Source organism: Homo sapiens, chromosome 4, assembly GCF_000001405.40.
Source record: "Homo sapiens chromosome 4, GRCh38.p14 Primary Assembly".
NCBI classification, from domain to species: Eukaryota; Metazoa; Chordata; class Mammalia; order Primates; family Hominidae; genus Homo; species Homo sapiens.
In genome coordinates, this window is record NC_000004.12 from 104,891,893 (window position 1) to 104,911,173 (window position 19,281).

Here is a 19,281-nt window from a genome sequence, read left to right on the forward strand (position 1 = left end):
TTTTTGCAATAGTTTCTTGTGGTGCAATAATAATAAAACTTGTTTAGGTTTGAAGCACTTTTACATGCATGCATTGAAAAATATTGAATATAAATAGCACTGAATATAAATAGCCCTATAAATAGCATTTGTGAAAAACACAGAAAAGACCCTGGTCTCAAAAAGTTTACTTTGCATTTGCAAAAGGGTTAGTAGGAAATAAATAAAGGAACAAAATCATTTCAGGGAATTATAAGTGCTATGAAAAATAAAGTACACTGAGGAAGTAGAACGATGTAGGCATGGTGAGGCTAATTCAGATGGAGTGATCAGAAAGTCCCATTGATACTTAACACTTCAGCTCCATGACAAGGACACAAGTATGAAAAGGTCTGGGGTCCGAATTTGGGTAAAGACTATGACACGTGTCAAGGTGGTGGCACAGGAATAAGCTTGACGTGTTCAGAGAAGCCACAGCAGCTCAGGGGCAGCAAGCAAAGGGGAAAATGGAAGGGGATGAACTCCAAGATAGGGGAAAGAATTACACTTTTATGGCATGAGAGGCTATGGGGCTATCCATTTCTGTGACATATCTCCAAACTTAGTGGCTTAAAACAAACATCTTATTTTGCTCACAATTTGGAGTTCAGCGATATGGGAAAGTTCTTCTGGACATTTATCTCTGATGCGGGTAGTATTACTGGGGCAGCTAAAGCTGCAAAACTAGGTGATTTCATTCAATGTCTGTTCCCTTGGTGCTCTTTGTTCACATGGCATCTCCTATTCTAGGGCCTCTCCACATGGCGTGCTCTTCTCACAAGTTGGCATCATGGCGGTCTCGTGGCTGTCTCTAACTACTGTTAGACTTATGTGATGACTGGTTTCCCCCAGAGCAGGCCTTGATCCAAGCTCCACGCCTTCTTATGACCTCTCCTGGAAGTCTCAGAACATCACTCCTGCCACTTTGCCCTTTTTGGTTAATCATACAAGGCATTAAGGCCAGCCCACATTCAAAGGGAAGAAAGTCAGACACTTCTCTTTTCTATGGGAATGTCACAGAATCTGTGGCCATCTTGAACCTGCCTCAGAGGCCATGGTAGGTAATCTGCATTTTATTCTGAGTGTTATGGGAAATGGCTGGAGACTTTTCAACAGAGAAATTACATGATTTTATTTTTGTTTTTAAGAGCCCATTTTGGCTGCTAGATAGAGAATAAATTGAATGAGGACAAGAGAAGAAGCAAGGTAACCAGTTAGAGGTGATTATAGTTTTCTGGATGGCCTACGATGGAATGGTAGCAGTGGAGAAGGAGAAAGTAAATATGGGGTACATCTTAACGGACTTGTAGTTGGATAGGTTTGGGGGAGAAGAAAAAAAACAGGATGACTCCAAAGGTTTTAATGAGGACCTGGAAGGATTGTGGTAGTATTTACTGAGACAGGAAAAAAGGGGTAAAGTTATTTACATGTCTCATATAATTGTCCCAACAGCTCTCTAACATGGAGGTTCAGTTAGTTATGTGGTAGGCCTTATTATCCTCAATCTTTCCTCAGGTGAGAACAGTGGGGTTCTTAAAGAACAGAAGGAAAAGAAGGAAGGGAGAGGGAAGGAGAGTGGTGAGATGGGGAGAGGGAATAAAGAAAGTCTTTCCTAAAACACTTAACTAGATAATGGGAGTACTGGTCTATAATAAGTTCTGTTATCTAGCCAACACATCTTCCCATTATACAACATAGTTAGCTGTCAATCATTAGTATAACAAGCTGAGTTTTAAATTGTTTGTCTATTCTTACTATAAACCTACTCAAAGAATGTTTCCCTCTGGGTAAAATAGGAACAATGAAGATGAACACAAGGAAAAGATACGTTCTTAGTCATTACAGAACTTAAACAGTAGAATGACTAAACCTTTCAAGGTTCCCAACATTTAGATCTAATTGATTTGGATTTTATGTCTGATAAACATCACCTTCTAAAGATGAAATTTTAAATTGAGAAAAGTGAATAGAGGGGGTTGGAAGTTCTAGTTCTTATTTTTTCTGCCTTTGGCTTAATTAAGTTTATCAAATTTTCTTAAACTCTGTGCTTTAATTTTTCTCATCATCAAAACATTACTTTTATCAACCATATTTTCAATTCCTTCACTTGTTTATGAGTCAGCCCTCATAAGGACAGTTGTACTTGTCTCCCACCCATTCTCATGCCTGTGATCACTCCTTTCACACCCATTAACTCATCTTACACATGTAATAAGAAAAGTGCTGGGGAGAAAGTTTTTGTAAACTTCAAAAAAACAACTTATCATTGTTATTACAAATTCTTCAAAAACATTAATTTTAAATTTTAATTTTATTCCAATGTTAGCCTATTACTAAATCTTTTTAAATCCAAAATAACCCAGTATGACTCTTTGATTGTAGGTAGAGTCCTTTTACTGCCACTGCTGTGAACCACATCATTCAGTATGCAGCACTTCGAATTTTGCCAAAGTAATCATGATGTATGAAAACTCGCAACGTGGTAAAAACAACAAATATTCTATGAAAATCTTAGTCACCAAGACTGTCTGGGACCTTTATTACAATAACATAAATATTAGTCAAATTTTCATAACCATTGATAATTATTTTTATCTCTCATATTCTTGCTTGATATTGAATTGTTTGCCACTGTGGGTACTTTCCATCTGGTGAGGGCCTGAGACATTGTGCTAATCACACACACACACACACACACACACCACACACACCCCTACCTCTAAACACCTCTCTTCCACTCTTAGCAATGCTCCTGTACCCATGTGTTAATATTGATTGGGCCTGTTTCCATTCTGGGGCAGTATGGAAGTCAAGGATCGTTACTGAATAATCATTTGGTGATGTATTTCAAATTGTATTTTCCTCAGCAGAAATAAGTCAAAACTGATGGTTACCTTTTTACCAGTAGCCTTCTATTGGATCTCAAATTTGTGCTATATATAGATAAGGATGAAGGTAGCTCTAAACAGAGAAAACCAAACCATTTCTCTCCTACTTGTTTTGGGAACTAATTTAACTAATTTGGAAATGCTTAGATAAAGGCAGGTCTGCTGAATGTCTGAATACACTTTCTAATTACTACAAGGTTTAATTACAGTTTCTGAGAAATTATAGCAAAAGACCTTTGGATTTCAGTGTAACCAAAATTTCATCAGATATTCCACCATTGTCATTATTCTCAAAATTCAAATGAAATAACCAATGTTCTAAAATGTAAAATTCCAAACATATTTTCTTTCCCCTCAAAACTCATCTTTCTCTTTCAGACATCACGAATTCTGTTAAAGACATGACCATCTCATTTCCTGCCAGGTCTGGACCCTCAATTCCTTCACTTGAATGTGAGTCAGCCTCATGAGGACAGTTGCATTTGCCTCCCGCCTATTCTCATGCCTATGATCACTCCTTTCACAACTATTAACTCATCTCACACAGCCTCTCTGCATAGTACAATTCTGAAATAAAATTTGATTGTGTTACATTATCTAAATATTATTTCAGTTTTTACTTATTAATTATCAAACAGTTAAAAGGACCTAATCTGGCTTTCCAGACCAGGGCCACCTCTGGGGTATATGCAGTCCTGGGTGGCAAATCTTTTTGTGCAGAGTCTCTGTCTATACAACTATTTTGATCAAAATTGTATTCAGAATCCATAGTCCCATGTGAGGTAATGTATTGATGGAGATTTAAAACAATGGGCAGAGGAGAGGGACTTACATATTTGTTTATCACTCATTTGGGGCAGGTGAAGATTCTTCATAGGGTCCTGGCACCATCTCTTCCTGTTCAGGTCCGAAAAACATCTTGTCATGTTCTTTTTATGGTGATAACTCCTCATTTTGTGCTAGCAGAGTTAATTCTCCATTTCCAGAAATTGCTGCCAGTTTCTGACCTAATTAGAGTTCAAAAACACTCGTGTTTTTCTTATTTTTTCCACTGAGAGAAGAAAGTAGCAGTGCTGTTATGACTCACAATACCAAGGCTCTTTGGAGTCTGTATTGATACAATTTAATTCTTCTTGCCTCTGCAGTTTCCTAAATTTATTATTTACACAATGATGGTTACAACATCACTTACAATGCTTCCTCAACCATCAGGCCACCTGTGAACACTGGTTCCCAATGAGTCTTCCCAAGATTGTTAATGTGCCTCATGATGATGACCACAATGCAAGTCTTACCCAGAATTTGCAGGAAAATGTTAATAACAATTTATTTTCTGGCCATGTTAAATTTACGGTTCAGGCTTTTATTGCATAAATGTGCATAATACATCTTTTATCCGTAGCTCCTCTTAAATTCTTGATATCAGTCCATTCCTGGCATGTGCTGTTTTTCAATGTTGACCCTATCCCTGTCTCCCATACACCACTACTATGGGGAAAACAGGAGAGGGGCCTACAGGAAAAAATGAAGAAAAAAAAAAACCTATGCTATTTATGTAAGAAATATCCGTCCCTCATTCAGCATGGCGTATGACCAGCTGAAAGAACATTATGTTACTGCATCAATTGGAGGCAAGAGAGGCCATGATTCAGAAGGGATCAACAGCATTTACTAAGGAACACATTCTGATGAATGCAACTTTAGATCTCAGTCCTGCATTTAGGATGAATTCATCCCTGAATAAAACACCTTGGTGAATGCATGTGCAGTATTTAAACAAACATAAAAGAGGGGGATGGAATTCAATCCTTCATTCTTAATTGTGTAAGTTCCTCAAAAACCATCTAGTGTTGTCTTTTCAAAGACACATCTACTAATACATCATAGTAATGAATTATAGTAAAACTATTTTTTTTCATCTAACTGGATTGCTTATAATCTGACTCCTGTACCCTTGTTTTTCCCATGACTACACTGATCTTCACTTGAATGAAAACCAAACAGTGATCTGGTTTCACCTTCTGGATTAACTGACTCATTAATGATTATGACAGCAGCTGCTGATGTTCTGGGTCAGGCTGACCTGGTTTAACTATGTGTAAATCTATTATGATAATGTTGTTATCTTTCAGGATAGCATGGAGCATGGTTACAAAAGGTGTCTGGAAAAATGTCAGATGGAGTCTGAGTTTTCAAGGAAGCTGGTTGTTTTCCCTCAGTTTCTAACACCCATTCTGAACTATGAGAGCAGGAATACTGTATATTTAAATGCATCTGTTGTACAACTGCTGAGTTCAGAGTACTCTAGCAAGGGGTGGGTAATCACACAGATGGTGTGCTTCACGACCAAAACCACTTGCTGTAGATGCCACATTCAGAGAGAACATGTAAATACTTGGCACAGTTGTGAGAGTTTTCAGAGGTGTTATATTCATTTAGAGAGTTACAGCTTTGATGGTGACAGCTTCTCATTTTGGGCTAGCAGGATTAATTCTTCCTTTCTTATTTTTACTCTTGACATTCCAGAAATTGCCACAATTTCCTGATCTAACTTGAGTTCAAAGAGTTGTGTTTTTCTTATTTCCCCCTTATTTAAAGAGGATTACTGTATCAACAAGAATGGTGACGCAGAAGGACTGGGTGACCAGGAGTATACTGGCCACATGCCACAGTGAAGTTTTCAGGCCTATATTGTGTGCCTTCCCACATTCCAATAAATACCACAAACAGCCAATGGTATTGTTTTTTATTGCCTTTCACCCCAAACTTACTATAAAAAGCATTAAGTTTTTAAATGTCTGTTTCCTCTGAGCATTCACTTGCTTACCCACCTATTTATTGAATAGACTAACAATTGAAAGCTTGCTCAGTATAAAATGTAACTGGTCTCCAGATCTTTCTCCAGGATCTGAACCTCCAAGAAAAAGCTGTGTCAAAGTAAAAAAGCTGGGGAAGGGGCACGATTGAGAAAGTCTAGAAGAGACAAGGGATGATGTATACCTGAAGGAGGGGAGAAAATAAAGGACACCACAAAGTGGCACTGGAGTCCGAGAGAAGTGACTGACAATCGAGATATGGTGTGGCAAAATATAGGTCAGGTTCAGGATATTATTCTCAGAAAGCTCATTTCCAAGCATGCAATTTATGTGGCTTATCATCTTTCCTACAGATATGGCTGCCTAAAGGAGCAACACAGGGATGGACACCAGGCAAAGATAAAATGATGCAGTAGTCCTCCTAAATAAACCCACAGTCTAGGCAAGAATATATACTAATAAACACACATATCATCAAATACTATCAAATAAGAAAATAGAGTTAGAAACAATAGTGTAATAGAAATGTAGAGGAGTGGGTTAATAATTCATTGAGTTGATAACTTCAGGTTTTATGAAGGAAATCACATTTATATTGGGTCTTACAGAACGAGATGTATGTCAGTCCAAGGAAAGCGGAGGAAGAGAAAAGAGCACAGTTTCCGATGTTCATTCCTCCTAATTCTAAAGCACATATAGTGGCTGGCACTAACAACATTTATTAAATGAATGAAGATGATGGTTTGATGAAACTTAGTAACATAAGGCTCAAACTTCAAGAACAAACTTGAAGTTTGCAGCATCATACCACAGACTGCATTCAAATGAAAAAAAAAAAAATGTAGAAAGACAGTATATAGGCCGAGTGTGGTGGCTCACACCTGTAATCACAGCACTTTGGAAGGCCAAGGCAGGAGGATCACTTGAGCCCAGGAGTTCGAGACTAGCCTGAGCAACATGGCGAGAACCTGTCTCTATTAAAAATACAAAAATTAGCCAGGTGTGGTGGTGGGTGCATGTAGTCTTAGCTACTTGGGAGACTTAGGTGGAAGAATGGCTTGAGTTCAGGAGGTCAAGGCTATGGTGAGCTGTGTTCACACCACTGCACTCCAGACTGAGTGACAAAGCAAGAACTTGTTGAAAGAAAAAAGAAGGAGGGAAGGAGGATTAGTCCATTTTCATGCTGCTGATAAAGACATGCCAAGATTGGGCAATTTACAAAAGAAAGAGGTTTAATTGGACTTACAGTTCCATGTGGCTGGGGAAGCCTCACAATCATGGCAGAAGGCAAGGAGGAGCAAAGGCATGTCTTAAATGGATGGCAGCAGGCAAAAAGAGAGAGAACTTGTGCAGGGGAACTCTTTAAAACAATAAGATCTCATGAGACTCATTCACTATCACAAGAACAGTGCAGGAAAGACCCACCCCCATAATGCAATCACCTCCCACTGGGTTCCTCCCATGATGTGTGGGGATTATAGGAGTTACAATTCAAGATGAGATTTGGGTGGGGACACAGCCAAACCATATCAGAAGGGAAGGAGGGAGGAAGAGAGGGAAAAGAAAGGAAAGCAGGCAAGCAGGCACAGTACACAACTAATGAACAAAAAACAATATGGGAAAGAAAACTAAAAGGAAATGAGCTTAGCCAAAGGAAAAACTAGGTTAGGAAAATAGTATAAGTCAGAAAAGAAACTTGCATTAAAAATAAAATTAGTTTGATTTTTTAGTATGATTTTAAATTTTTTCATTTATATGTTTTCTATAGAAAAGTTAGAAAAATAAAGCAAAACAATAAACACACTCCTAATTCCAACAGCTAGTGTCAATTACCCAGACACAACCACTACTAACCTGTTGTTCTTACTTTAAGACATTTATGATATTTAAATGAAAAATAGGCTAATATTTATCTGTAATGTACTTTTTTCTCCTTAGTAGTATACTGTGAAGAAAGATTACTAAGAAAGTGAAAGAAATTAGAAACAATCTCATTTGATTTGGTACAATTTTCTGAAATATCTAAGATGATGGAACATTTCTAGAAGTAATTTCTAGTTGACATTTCCCGAAATATTTTTAAAGACACATTTGTTATTCAACTAACAGTGACTTAAATCAATAATAATAATAATAAAAGTAGTAAACTCTTAAAATTAGAAGGCTGGAGGGTGGCAGCAGCACCCATGTAGTAGCTCCCTGGTGTCATCAGAGGTCCAGGCTCTTTTTCTTTGTCCACATTCTCCATCTATAACACGTTGGCTTCCTCCCTCAAGGCCCCAATATGTCTGTCCCAGTTCATCTTCATGTTTAAACTTGTGGCAACAAAATATAAGGGAGGTGTGACATTAACTTGTCTGTTCCTTTGATCAGACAAGCAAAAGTCTTCCCAAGAGTCCCTCCTGACTCCACCCAGCAGGCAAACCTACTTCTAATTGGTCAGAACTAGGTCACATGACCACTTTCAACCGCAAAAGAGGCAGGGAAATTGAGAACACAATTATCGAGATGTACTGTTATCAACTATGAGCCATTGCTTAGGGCTGAACCTGTAGTGGCACCAAACAAAAATGGGGTTAACAAGGAAGGAGAGGAAAATGGACATTACGTAACCAACTTGCCTGCCACACATAGTAATAAGAACTATGGCAGTTGGTGACACCCACCTAACAACCTCACAGGTGTATGTCAAATACTTCCCATTCTTGAGGGAAGGCTCCTGCTCCACCTCCTCTAGAAATAATTTGCCTAATTACCAAAATGCACACAGGTGTTCTTGCTCCCTGACACCTTATTTCACTGACCTCACAGATGTGGACAGGCAATAATGCACAAGCTCCACTCTCAGTCGTACCGTCAGTATTTATGGTCCCGTATTTTTCTTCGGGCTTCTTCTATCCTCCACAGCAGGCAGCCTGTGGGCCAAATATGCTCTGGTGCTAATTTTTTTGTAAAGTTTTATCAGAATAGACATACTAATTCATTTAGATAATATTTGCAGCTGCTTCACACTTGTTGGGGCAGAAACCACGTGACCTCCAAAGCCAAAAATATTTTGTGTCTGGCCCTTTAGAGAGAAAAGTTTGTCAACTATCTACGTGTACTTCAATTCTCTGATGGTAAGGTCCCATCCTGCATTTCTCTTGTATCTACATGAGCATATCCCTGGGGAGATAGGAAGTACTCAACAAATAGCTTCTCACCAATGGAAATGGAAGGATTGATAGACTAAGAAACTCTGGCATAGTAAGTTATATATAGCTGGTGCTTCATGAAAGTTTGTTGAATGAATTCAGGAATTAACTAAGTAATTGGCTAAGTAAGGCAAAATGCTCCAGTACTTAGAGTGTGGGTTGTGGATCCAAACTTCCAATATTCAAAAGCTGTGTGTCCTAGGCAATAAACCTAACCTCTCTGTGCCTCAGATTTCTCCTGAATGAAACAAACAATAAGGAAAAAAAAAAGATTTAACAGTCTCTGGAGTATTTAGAACAATGCCTGACACAGAATAAGCACTCAAAAAATACTAGCTATGAAGAATATTATGGAGAAGAGTTTATTTTTATATAGGGTATTATTTTTATTTTTCCTTTCTTTGTGGCATAGTTTGAACCCATTCTGTAAAACGGTATGGACAGGATCAAGAGCAATTTCTAACTTTTCCTGGTGACACTGAATCAAGTTTGAACCAAAAGAAGGTTTGAGGTAGATGTTGCAGGGACATCCAAGGACATAATTGCTAGTAACAGGGTCAGAGAATAAACTAGCACACACTAAGGAGGGGAACCGAAAAGTCACAAGCATGTCAACACAACACGACTGAACTCTGCTTCTGCTGATGAGAAGTGTCAGTGCCACAGACGTGAGGTGAATGGCAGGGGAGCTCTTTCACTGAACTGTCAACTAATGAAGTGGTGAGAAATTAGGAGGCCCTGTAATTTACACGCTAATTCTCCCTAATGCCACCTGGGGGCTTCCTCCAGGCAGAGGAGCAGAGGAGTGGAAAATGGTGTCGTCCAGCCAGCAGCAAGCCTGTGCTGCTATTCTGTCTTTGCCAAGCAACACAGCAGACCAGCTTGTTTCCATTCACCATTCAGGGAACAGTTGGCAGACTTCCCCCAGAATGTGGGCAAGCCTCAGCTATAAGAGCAAAATGAAGACAAAGAAAAGAATTTTAATTCTTATACCTTTTTGCATTTTTTGTGTGCTCTCTTCAAGTTGACTCAGTGGGCAACCCTCTACCTTTCCTCAGCTCTGACATCTCCCTCTCACCACAAGCATAAGTCACATAAAATTGGTTGCTGTAATCAATGCTCTCCTTGAAACAAAACTCAGAAATAAAATGGGTGATACATTGCTATCACTGCACTTATCATCATTATTTAAAGGAGCTTTTTTTTTTTTAAACACATTTAACAAATGTGGTTCTGACCACCAGCCTCCTCCCTGGACTCTCATTACAAACACAGCAACAGCTCTTACCCCAAAATCACACACTAAGGGAAAACAGGAAGGGACCCTCGTGTGCTGGCATCTTTCAGGCAAGAGGCCAAGTCCACACTGAGGAAACAGTGTATGAGTGTAAACAGAACTGCCTCCCATGTTATAAACATATATTTCCTTGGACATCCTCTGGACTGCCAATTGAATAATGCTGCATTTTAGTTATCCCTGGTAAGCTAGGGCTGATTTTAAGACCATTAGGAAAGGGGAGAATGTTACAGTCTTCTTGGTTCCTCTAGGGTCACAGTGTAATTGTGTGGTGGGAGAAAGGGGGCCCTAGGGATGGCATGACAGTCACTTCTCATTACCTCCCACTTGGTTCATTACATCTGTAGACAGCGATTGTCCATGTGTGGATACTTCCATTACACAGAAGGATGTAATGTGCTGTAGACTTCACACGGCTTTCAGAAAGGGAAAAAGATGTTTATTCCAGGCACATACCTATCTTGTTTCCACGGGCCATGCCACAGCAATGGAAAGTGACATAAGGAATAGATTAATGGTAATCAATACAGAAAAACCAGTCCCCACATGTGCTTACACCCAGTGGGATTTTATATGTGTATATCACTAACATACCACTTTACATAAAAGGCAAAACCCTCACTTACAAATCTACTAAATTTTACTTTTAACAAGCAGATTCACTCACTTAAGTACACCATGTACAGGCTTCTTTGTGTCACCTCTCTGGACTGGCATTTACCTTATTCTCATTCACAATCTCACTCTCTCTTTCTCTCTTTCTGTATGTGTGTGTGTGAGCACGTGTGTGTATGTCTCATACACAGAAAGACCTTTCTTGTTTGCAAGGATGAGTCCTAGACACCATGAAATATAGAAATACTATTTCATATTTTTTCTTAGGTATAAAAAGCTGCAACTAGACTATAAACTAAGGGGAGTTGACAAGAGAGAAAACAAAATTATAGAGAATTATACAGTGTTAGAATCAGGAATAAATATTAGAGATTATGTATAACAGAAGTGCCCAGACTTTTTCTTTAAAGGAAAAAAAAAAAAACACCTCTCCCCAAAAGCTAATGAGTTGCCTAAAAAGAGATGTTCATGATGGAATAAATCTGTGATGCTACATACTTTAGCCTACTCTTGGGAATGCACAATTATGTCAGCTTATTAAAGGTTCTGTGAACTCCTGTTACTTAAATACCCATTTAATTCAGTATTACCTTATTTTATTATTTTAACGAACACTTTTTTTCTAACTGCAATCTTATCAACATCCTGTGGAATAATTATACTACAACAGGGGCAATCCTGTTCTATTATAGTCTCATCACCTTTGGCAGATTTTTATATACTGATAATTCTCAAATTTTAGCATGGATTTGAGTCACCTGGAGATCTAATCACTCAGTAAACTGGAAAGGGCTGGGGAATTGGAATACAGTACTTAAGTGTTCCTAAGGCAGGGGCCTCATAAGTCTACTTTGAGAAATACCAATCCACACATGTGCTCACTGTCTGAATTCATCAAGAATTGAACCACACGTTCTTACCAAGAAAACTTCACAGTTAACAGGTTGGAAGTCCATAGTTTTGAGTCTGGAGGTTGGCAAAGTTTATCCAGAATTACAAGGGCTTTTGAATATGAAAATGAGTGTACACCTTTATAAATTTACCAAAACTAATGGCCCCTTTAACCTTTACGCCTGTCTTTAAGAGTGCATCTCTTTCACTATGAGACATGTACACTCACTTGCTTCACTAATCCAGCTTTGTTCATTTATTCATACAATTATTTACAAAGCATCCTCTATGTGTCAGACAGTGGCTGAAACACTGGGAATACCAGTGAACAGAAGTGACAAAAATCCTTGCCCTTGTTAGAAGGAGAGAGACAACAAAACATAAACATACTAATAGTAAACGGTATGGTAAGTTAGAGTTAGAAAGTGATAAGTGTTATGAAAAGATGTAGCAGGCTAAGCAGGATCGCCAGTGTGAACGGCGGGGGGTGTAACAGAGCTGCAATTTTTGTAAAGGACAGTGGAAATATTACTCAATGAAAAGTGACATTTGAACAAAATTTAAAGAAAATAAGGGAGGTAGCCTGTTAGGTATGTAGAGTAAGAGTTCAGGCTTAAAGAACAGCCGGTGCAAAGGGAGCTGCCTCCTGTGAACAAGGAGCCACCAGAGGGTGTGTGGGGGCGAGAATCGGGAAGGGAGAGGAGGCAGCAAAGACCAGATCTGTCAGGGCTTTGACTTTTACCTCGAGTGAAATGAGAAGCTACTGCAGCATTCTGAGTAGAGAAATGAGGTTATCCGACAACTTTTTTTTTTTTTTGAGGCGGAGTCTCGCTCTGTCGCCCAGGCTGGAGTGCAGTGGCGCGATCTCGGCTCACTGCAAGCTCCGCCTCCCGGGTTCACGCCATTCTCCTGCCTCAGCCTCCCAAGTAGCTGGGACTACAGGCGCCTGCTACCACGCCCGGCTAATTTTCTGTATTTTTAGTAGAGACGGGGTTTCACCGTGTTATCCAGGATGGGCTCGATCTCCTGACCTCGTGATCCGCCCGCCTCGACCTCCCAAAGTGCTGGGATTACAGGCGTGAGCCACCGCGCCCGGCCGACAACATTTTTAAAGGATCTGAATTTATTCAGAATTTCTTAAACGTTGATTGGCTTTCTAGTCTTATGCCAGCCACTGGGCTTGGAGCCAGGTAGACAAAGATGAACTCTACAGTGTCCTTGCCCTCAGAGCGCTCAGAGTCTCTAGGCCTCTGGTACAGATCATTGCAGGTCAAAATTTGAACATTTAAATATCCATTTCCCTTGCCACTTAGATAACCAGACCTCAGATAACTGCCCAGTGTTTACTTCAGATACTCAGCATCTACACATCTCCCTGTCCTGGGACTAGAGCAAGAAGTCCTCGGGTCAGTAAGGATGTTCAGGTGCCCAGCTCTGCCCTAAACATACCATGTGGCCCTTGATGAGACATTAGTTCCTTATTTTTCTTGGCTTTTCCGTCTGTTTACACAATTTTCCGCCAAAGTATGTTTTTTAAGTCTGATGAGATAACCAGCACTGAGAGCTTGAGGGTGTAATGGAAAACTGACAATTTTAATTTTCCCTCAAATTATCATACTCTAAAATAAATAGAGTTGAGTAACTTCTCCAGTTATTCATTCTGGCAGCACTGCTTCAGCTGAAGACAGTCTACAAGTTGGCAGGCCAGAAGTGATGAGAAAATGATCTTAGTTCTTAGAGATAAAACCTGCTAGTTATCAACAACTGAAATTCTGAGAGAGGGTCTTCTGGGGAAAAGCCATTTGCAGCAATAATCTCCTTTTAGAATTTTAACATGCTTGCCTCCTGCTAAATCCTTTGTGTTGAGGAAGGATGTGAAAAGTCACATTTACTTTCAGCCCTAAATGCAATTCTAAATGATCACACCTGGCTTGCTCACCTCATCTGTCAGTCATCAATATTTGAGAGAAGAAACCTCTGTTCTGAAGAAATGGAAAATAAAATGACAGAGCTTAATCCAGAATTACTATCAGGGCTGTGTTTGCCTTCAGTGTGCATATGCAGCCTTTATGAAGAGCAACATTATTTTTTATCAAATGTTTATGATGTAACCTCACAGAAATCAGGGAAAATGGGGAATTTGGCAGGCAATTGGGAAAAGAGAAATGCAATACAATGCTATTTCAGCCTGAGGTCTACTTTGGAGCTAAGCTACTCCAGGTGTTTTTCTTTTGTCTTCATTTAATGGCTCTTCTAAACACAATGACTTAGTATCAGCCAAGGCAGCAAAATTTACAACGTACTAATTAATAGCAAGATGCTTAGCTAAGTGATTCTGTCTCTGAGTATGTAATTACATTTTCAGAGGTTTAATTTTTTTCTCTTACCTTCCTTCTGCCAGATTTTACCAGAAGAATAAGGGAGTATTAGGAACATAAAAAAAAACTCATGTGGCTGAAGCATGATTAATTTTACTTAAGCAATAAGAAATAAGCTACACTACTTATCCTTAGCCATAGTTATAGTAGTTGCATCAGTTATGAACTCCAGGGAGCAAGAATAGCAACTCACAAAGGATAACTACAGGTTATAGCTATATATACAGCTTATTCTCACCATTATCACCATTATTTACCAACTTATCTTTTAAAATTGGAGGCAAAATTAGCTCTTTTGCCTGTTCAGACTCTTGAACTTCAAATTATAAGTAAAACATGTTGCTGCACCTGCCCTGCCAATCCCCAGCCCTGCATCCATCCAACTGTTAACTTTCTCAGCTCCCGCTTCCAGGCAGCTGAGCATGGGCAGAGAAAAATCACATAACTCCATTTACTGGCACTCTGACAAATCTATGTTCTCCAGTATCAGCTGGGCCCTCTGTGCTACTGGCGGTCCTTTTATTTCTCCCCAGTCAGCTCAGTTTCAGATTTCCCTTACAGCTGTTCCAAACTATTAACATGCTCTACAATCCCCTCATTCTAAGCAGATGACCTTGCTCATTTATCACAAACAAAATAGAGCTCCTCTTCTTCCCCTCCATCAGCAAACTGACCCATGAGGACACCTAGCTTTTCCCTCCTTTTTTTGCAAGTCAAAGAAGAGTAATCTCTTCAAATCCCTGAAGTTATAGAATATTGGACACCATCTCCTCAGGCATCTTCAGGGACCTCATTACATCAGGCATGTCCCCTCACACTTTGGTGTCTTTAATCTATCACTCTCTGAACTCTGCCTTCTACATTTCAGTCTACACATTGGCTCAGCTTTTTCCTTGTCACCATGTGTGAGCATGCATGTGTGCAAACACACACACACACAGAAGCACAATTCTTTAATCATTTCAGCCTCTCACTCATGCTGCAAATTGTCTTGTATAGTAATTATCTGTTTACATGGCAGTTTTCAACTGGTCCAGTGGTTTTTAATCGTTGTCATGTCACAGATCCCTTGAAAATCTGATTAAAGAAATGGATCTTCTCCCCAGAGACACGCACATACCGACACAGACACACACACACACAAATGTACATACAATTCCAGGTTGCTCACAGACCCCCTCTAGGAGATGTTACTGTCGCTCATTCGTATTTCCGGTTCTACTCCTCTTCCGGGCACACTGGAGAATTACACTTCCTTGCTGACTTGAGATAAGTCACAGCTTTGGCCAATGAAGTGTGAATGGAAGTTTTCAGAACCTTTAAGAGCCTGTACGCAATTTGCCATGCTTTCTCTTTTTGCTTTGTCACCAAAACCTCTGTGTTCCAGATAGTGACTACTCTGTCTGCGTGGGTCCTGGAGAGAGGAGGATGCAGAGCACAGCACTTAGCCAACCTGCAATGGACACGTAGAGTGAGTGAGAAATGAACCTAGTGGTTTAGAGCATCTGGAATTGGGGGATGGTCGATTACTGTTGCAGGACCTAGGCTGTCCTGCTGCATAGCAGAGCACTCTCCACCTGATACGAAATAATCTATGTCGGAAAGATCCTATTCAGGGGAGTTTAAGATTTCCTCCTTCCTTTTCTTAATGAAGTTCCTTTCACCTCATATTGCTACATTTTTTTCTCTTTACCTGCAAGAATCTTTCCCTGGTTCTTCCCAGGGCTCATCCTTCAAATCTCAGCTCATATGTTACCTCCTCACAGAGGTCCTTCTTGACCTCTTTCCCACCCCTACCCCAACCCCAGCCACTATGATTCACACCAACCATTTCGCTTTTTCACAAACTGCATCACAGTCTGTAACAATCTTATTTTCTCTTACTCTTCAGTTCTGAATTCACAATACAGAATTTTTGCTATCAAAAATGATTCATAGATAACTAATGTCATGCTACTTGTATTTGTGAACATATGAAAATTAAATGCTTTCAAAATATGGAACTTTTTCATTTGTTTAATATGACAAAAATAGACCATGAATGTTCTATAGCAAGTCACATATTTTACATTTTTCAAAACTACGTTAGTAAAAGAAAAAACTAGCTAGAAATATTGGACAGATGTCCAAATGTTTGGATGTGCATCAAGAACAAACCACTGAACCTTGGTATTTACCCAGTCACCATTAAGAGGTCAACTTGACATTTTGGTTTCTTTTCAGATAGTTGGGGCCAACAGCTCTTACAACCTTTGACCCAACCCAGTTAAATAGTAGTTTTTGTTACTCATTGATATACAGTTTTTGTTTTATGTGCTTTTTAAAATTTTACTCAGTTCAGTTTAAAATTTTACTCCCCAAATGGTCTTCCTTTATAATGACAGCCAGAATTAATCCTGACATTTCAGAAACTATTGAATGGCTAACCCTTTGTTCTGTGTCCAGGGATATAGGTATAATATCTTGTCACAGAGTAAATAATCAATTCATACTTGTTAAATTAATGAATGAAATCAGTATTATAAAATTACCAAATAGCTCTTTCATTTGACTTTAATATATATAACTAATGACAATAAAAGATATAAGTGTTCTAATTTTAAAAATCAAAGTTTTAGCCTTGTTAGTTTACCTGTCTACAAACATGTTTATTGCTTAAGAATTTCAGATATGTAGAACTTAAAATCAGCATATAAGTTTTCTATTTTCATTGCCTTTGTAAATGTGTTAAACAATACTGACATTTGAGAAGAAATTCAGAAGCTATGATACTGTTCTTCCAGCCTATAATAGATTTGGAAAATATTCTCTAGAAATCTATCTCTTCAAATATTAAATTACAAAAGTAGAAAGCTTTAGGATTCTCTTAGTTATTAGAATAGGATAGAAAGTCTTGATGAGAACAACCAAATAAAATGTTTTAAAACTGCTATAGAAATAAGCTTGATTTGGAAACAAAATTAAGTTTATTTTTGTTTTTTTTCTTAAACTTTTTTTGTTTTCTTTAAATTTTCTGTGTGGTAGTGCGTATTGCCAAATAGCGTCCCTTAAAATGTTGCCTTATCTCTGACATTAAATGTGTAAGCAGCAGGTAATAGGTACATTTTTCAACCTATCTTTTACAAAAATTCTCATATGCAATTTAAAAATAACATGAACTTTCAGAATGGGGTTAGGTGTTTTTTTCTGTCTTTTTAGATTGTCTTCTTTCAATTAACTAATTTTTAAAAAGTGATTACCTATGAACTGCTACCCTGTTTTAAGAGAATGTGAGTAATTAGATGGTACTTAGTATCTATAACACTGGACATGCAGATGTGTGTGCACACACGTGTATGTGTAGGGTAGAGGGCTTTTAAAAATAATTTTGCATACAATGAAGGACATCTCTCAATTCCTCATCACTGCAACACAACCTTCAAATAAAAATTACAAATGATTCTTTTCTGCTCTAGAAAATTTCAACCAAACACATAACTTTCACAGAAATAGTTGCTATAGAAATGCAAAGGGGACAAATACTGAATTATGCTGTCAAAAAATTGCAACTAAAGTAGGGCAGTATCAAGGTTTATGTTTAATAATGCTGACTGTATGTATTCTTGACTTTATGTATACTCTAAATTGAATGTTCTGAGTCCCAAATTGGAAGGTACTTCGCTACCAAAATGAAAATATTTTAGCATGCATTCTAGATTAGAAAATCAGTACATGCCAAGAAAGGTTCATTTGTACAAAAATGGTAAAATTTAATAAATAATGGATTCAAATAATGCCAATTACTTTTCTTCATTTCATACAAAATTTCATTTTTTAATAATATACCAAGGTAATAAATGCTGTTTATGACTTATTAAATTTACATAGTACTGCAGCTTATCAATACCCTGTGAACTGCAAAAAAACAAATACCTTTACAGTAATATTGGTCATGAAAATAGTGGGGAAACCTTACAATTGTGAGAATGTGCAAATGTTCTCACTAAGGCAGTAATGACCCAGACAACTACTGAGTATGTGTCCCCTCAAATGCCTCAAAATTCTGTAATGCTCATTGTGAAACACGTCAGTGCACAGTATTTCAAAATTTCAGCACATACAAAATGTCATTGTATGAAATGAAGAAAAGTTACATTTCCTGCACAAGATTTGTAGACACCTTGGCTCACAAGAATAAATGCTGCTTCAGGTTTTGACATGTCTTTCATTTAATTTGCTAATGCGCTTATTTTGAAATAGTGTCCTATGATAACATTTAGGGTAACATTAACCTTTATGTTTATTAATGAAAAGAAGATCATAGGATAAATCTCCTAAAAATGTTTGGCTCTGTTTTTAGCTTGTTTGGAAATTATACTTTAAATACTGAATTGCCACCAAAGCCTCTGGTAAATGTGAAGGTAGCGCTCAAACTCTTGCAGCCTTTGATCTTGTCAATTCGTTTTATAAGAGAGAAAAATTTCATCAGTCAACTGCAACCTTATAATTTTAGGAAGAAGTGATTTTAGAAGATTCATACATCCTATGTTCTAAAACCAAAATAGCCCTATTGTTAAAAATAAGATAGCTGTGGCCAACAGCTCTTACCACCTTTGTCCCCAAGCCAGTTAAATAGTCGTAAATAGTTGATTTTTATATTCATGTTATGAATATAAAAATCATATTCATAATATAACATTTAACCTATTCATGTTACAAAACTTAACTGCTGGTTACCAATATTATCAATAGAATCTGCTGAAGAGAATAAAAAGAGGGAGGGGAGAGAGAAAAAGAAACCTCTCAGAAATACGATAGAACATTAGTCACCTCTCTACACCTTCCTCTCTGAAAATATCAATCCTATGAATTCAATACCTTTCTATTTTACCCAGCTTTAGCAAGATTATAATCAAAATTTTATCTGAATCCATCTTATACTTAAGTGAGTTTTTCAGATTCAGTTTGGAAGAATGGAAGAGCATGGGTTATGGTGTTGAATACGCAAGAGTTCAAAGTAAAGCTCCAACATGTGCTGTCAATCTTGGTCAAGATGTAACACTTCTGTTTTTTCATCTATAAAATCAAAAGACACTTGTCACATAATGATCTGAATTTTGTATCAATGCTCCATTGAAATTATCTTCATGAAGATCACCCATACTCTTTTAATTCTAAAATTTCATAAATATTTAGCTCTGATTA

At 38.1% G+C, this 19,281-nt stretch overlaps 1 long non-coding RNA gene across 2 annotated transcripts; it reads left to right on the forward strand.

Annotated features, from left to right (window-relative positions):
• Positions 1–1,006: 1,006 nt before the first annotated feature.
• On the forward strand, positions 1,007–3,508 carry LOC105377351 (uncharacterized). 2 transcript variants are annotated; one of them, XR_939037.3, is made up of 3 exons: positions 1,012–1,075; positions 2,401–2,500; positions 3,285–3,368. It is a non-coding gene; the product is annotated as an uncharacterized LOC105377351 (long non-coding RNA). The 2 variants fall into 2 exon arrangements; XR_007058213.1 differs by lacking the exon at positions 2,401–2,500 and having other exon boundaries at positions 1,007–1,075; positions 3,285–3,508.
• The last annotated feature ends 15,773 nt before the right edge of the window (positions 3,509–19,281 follow it).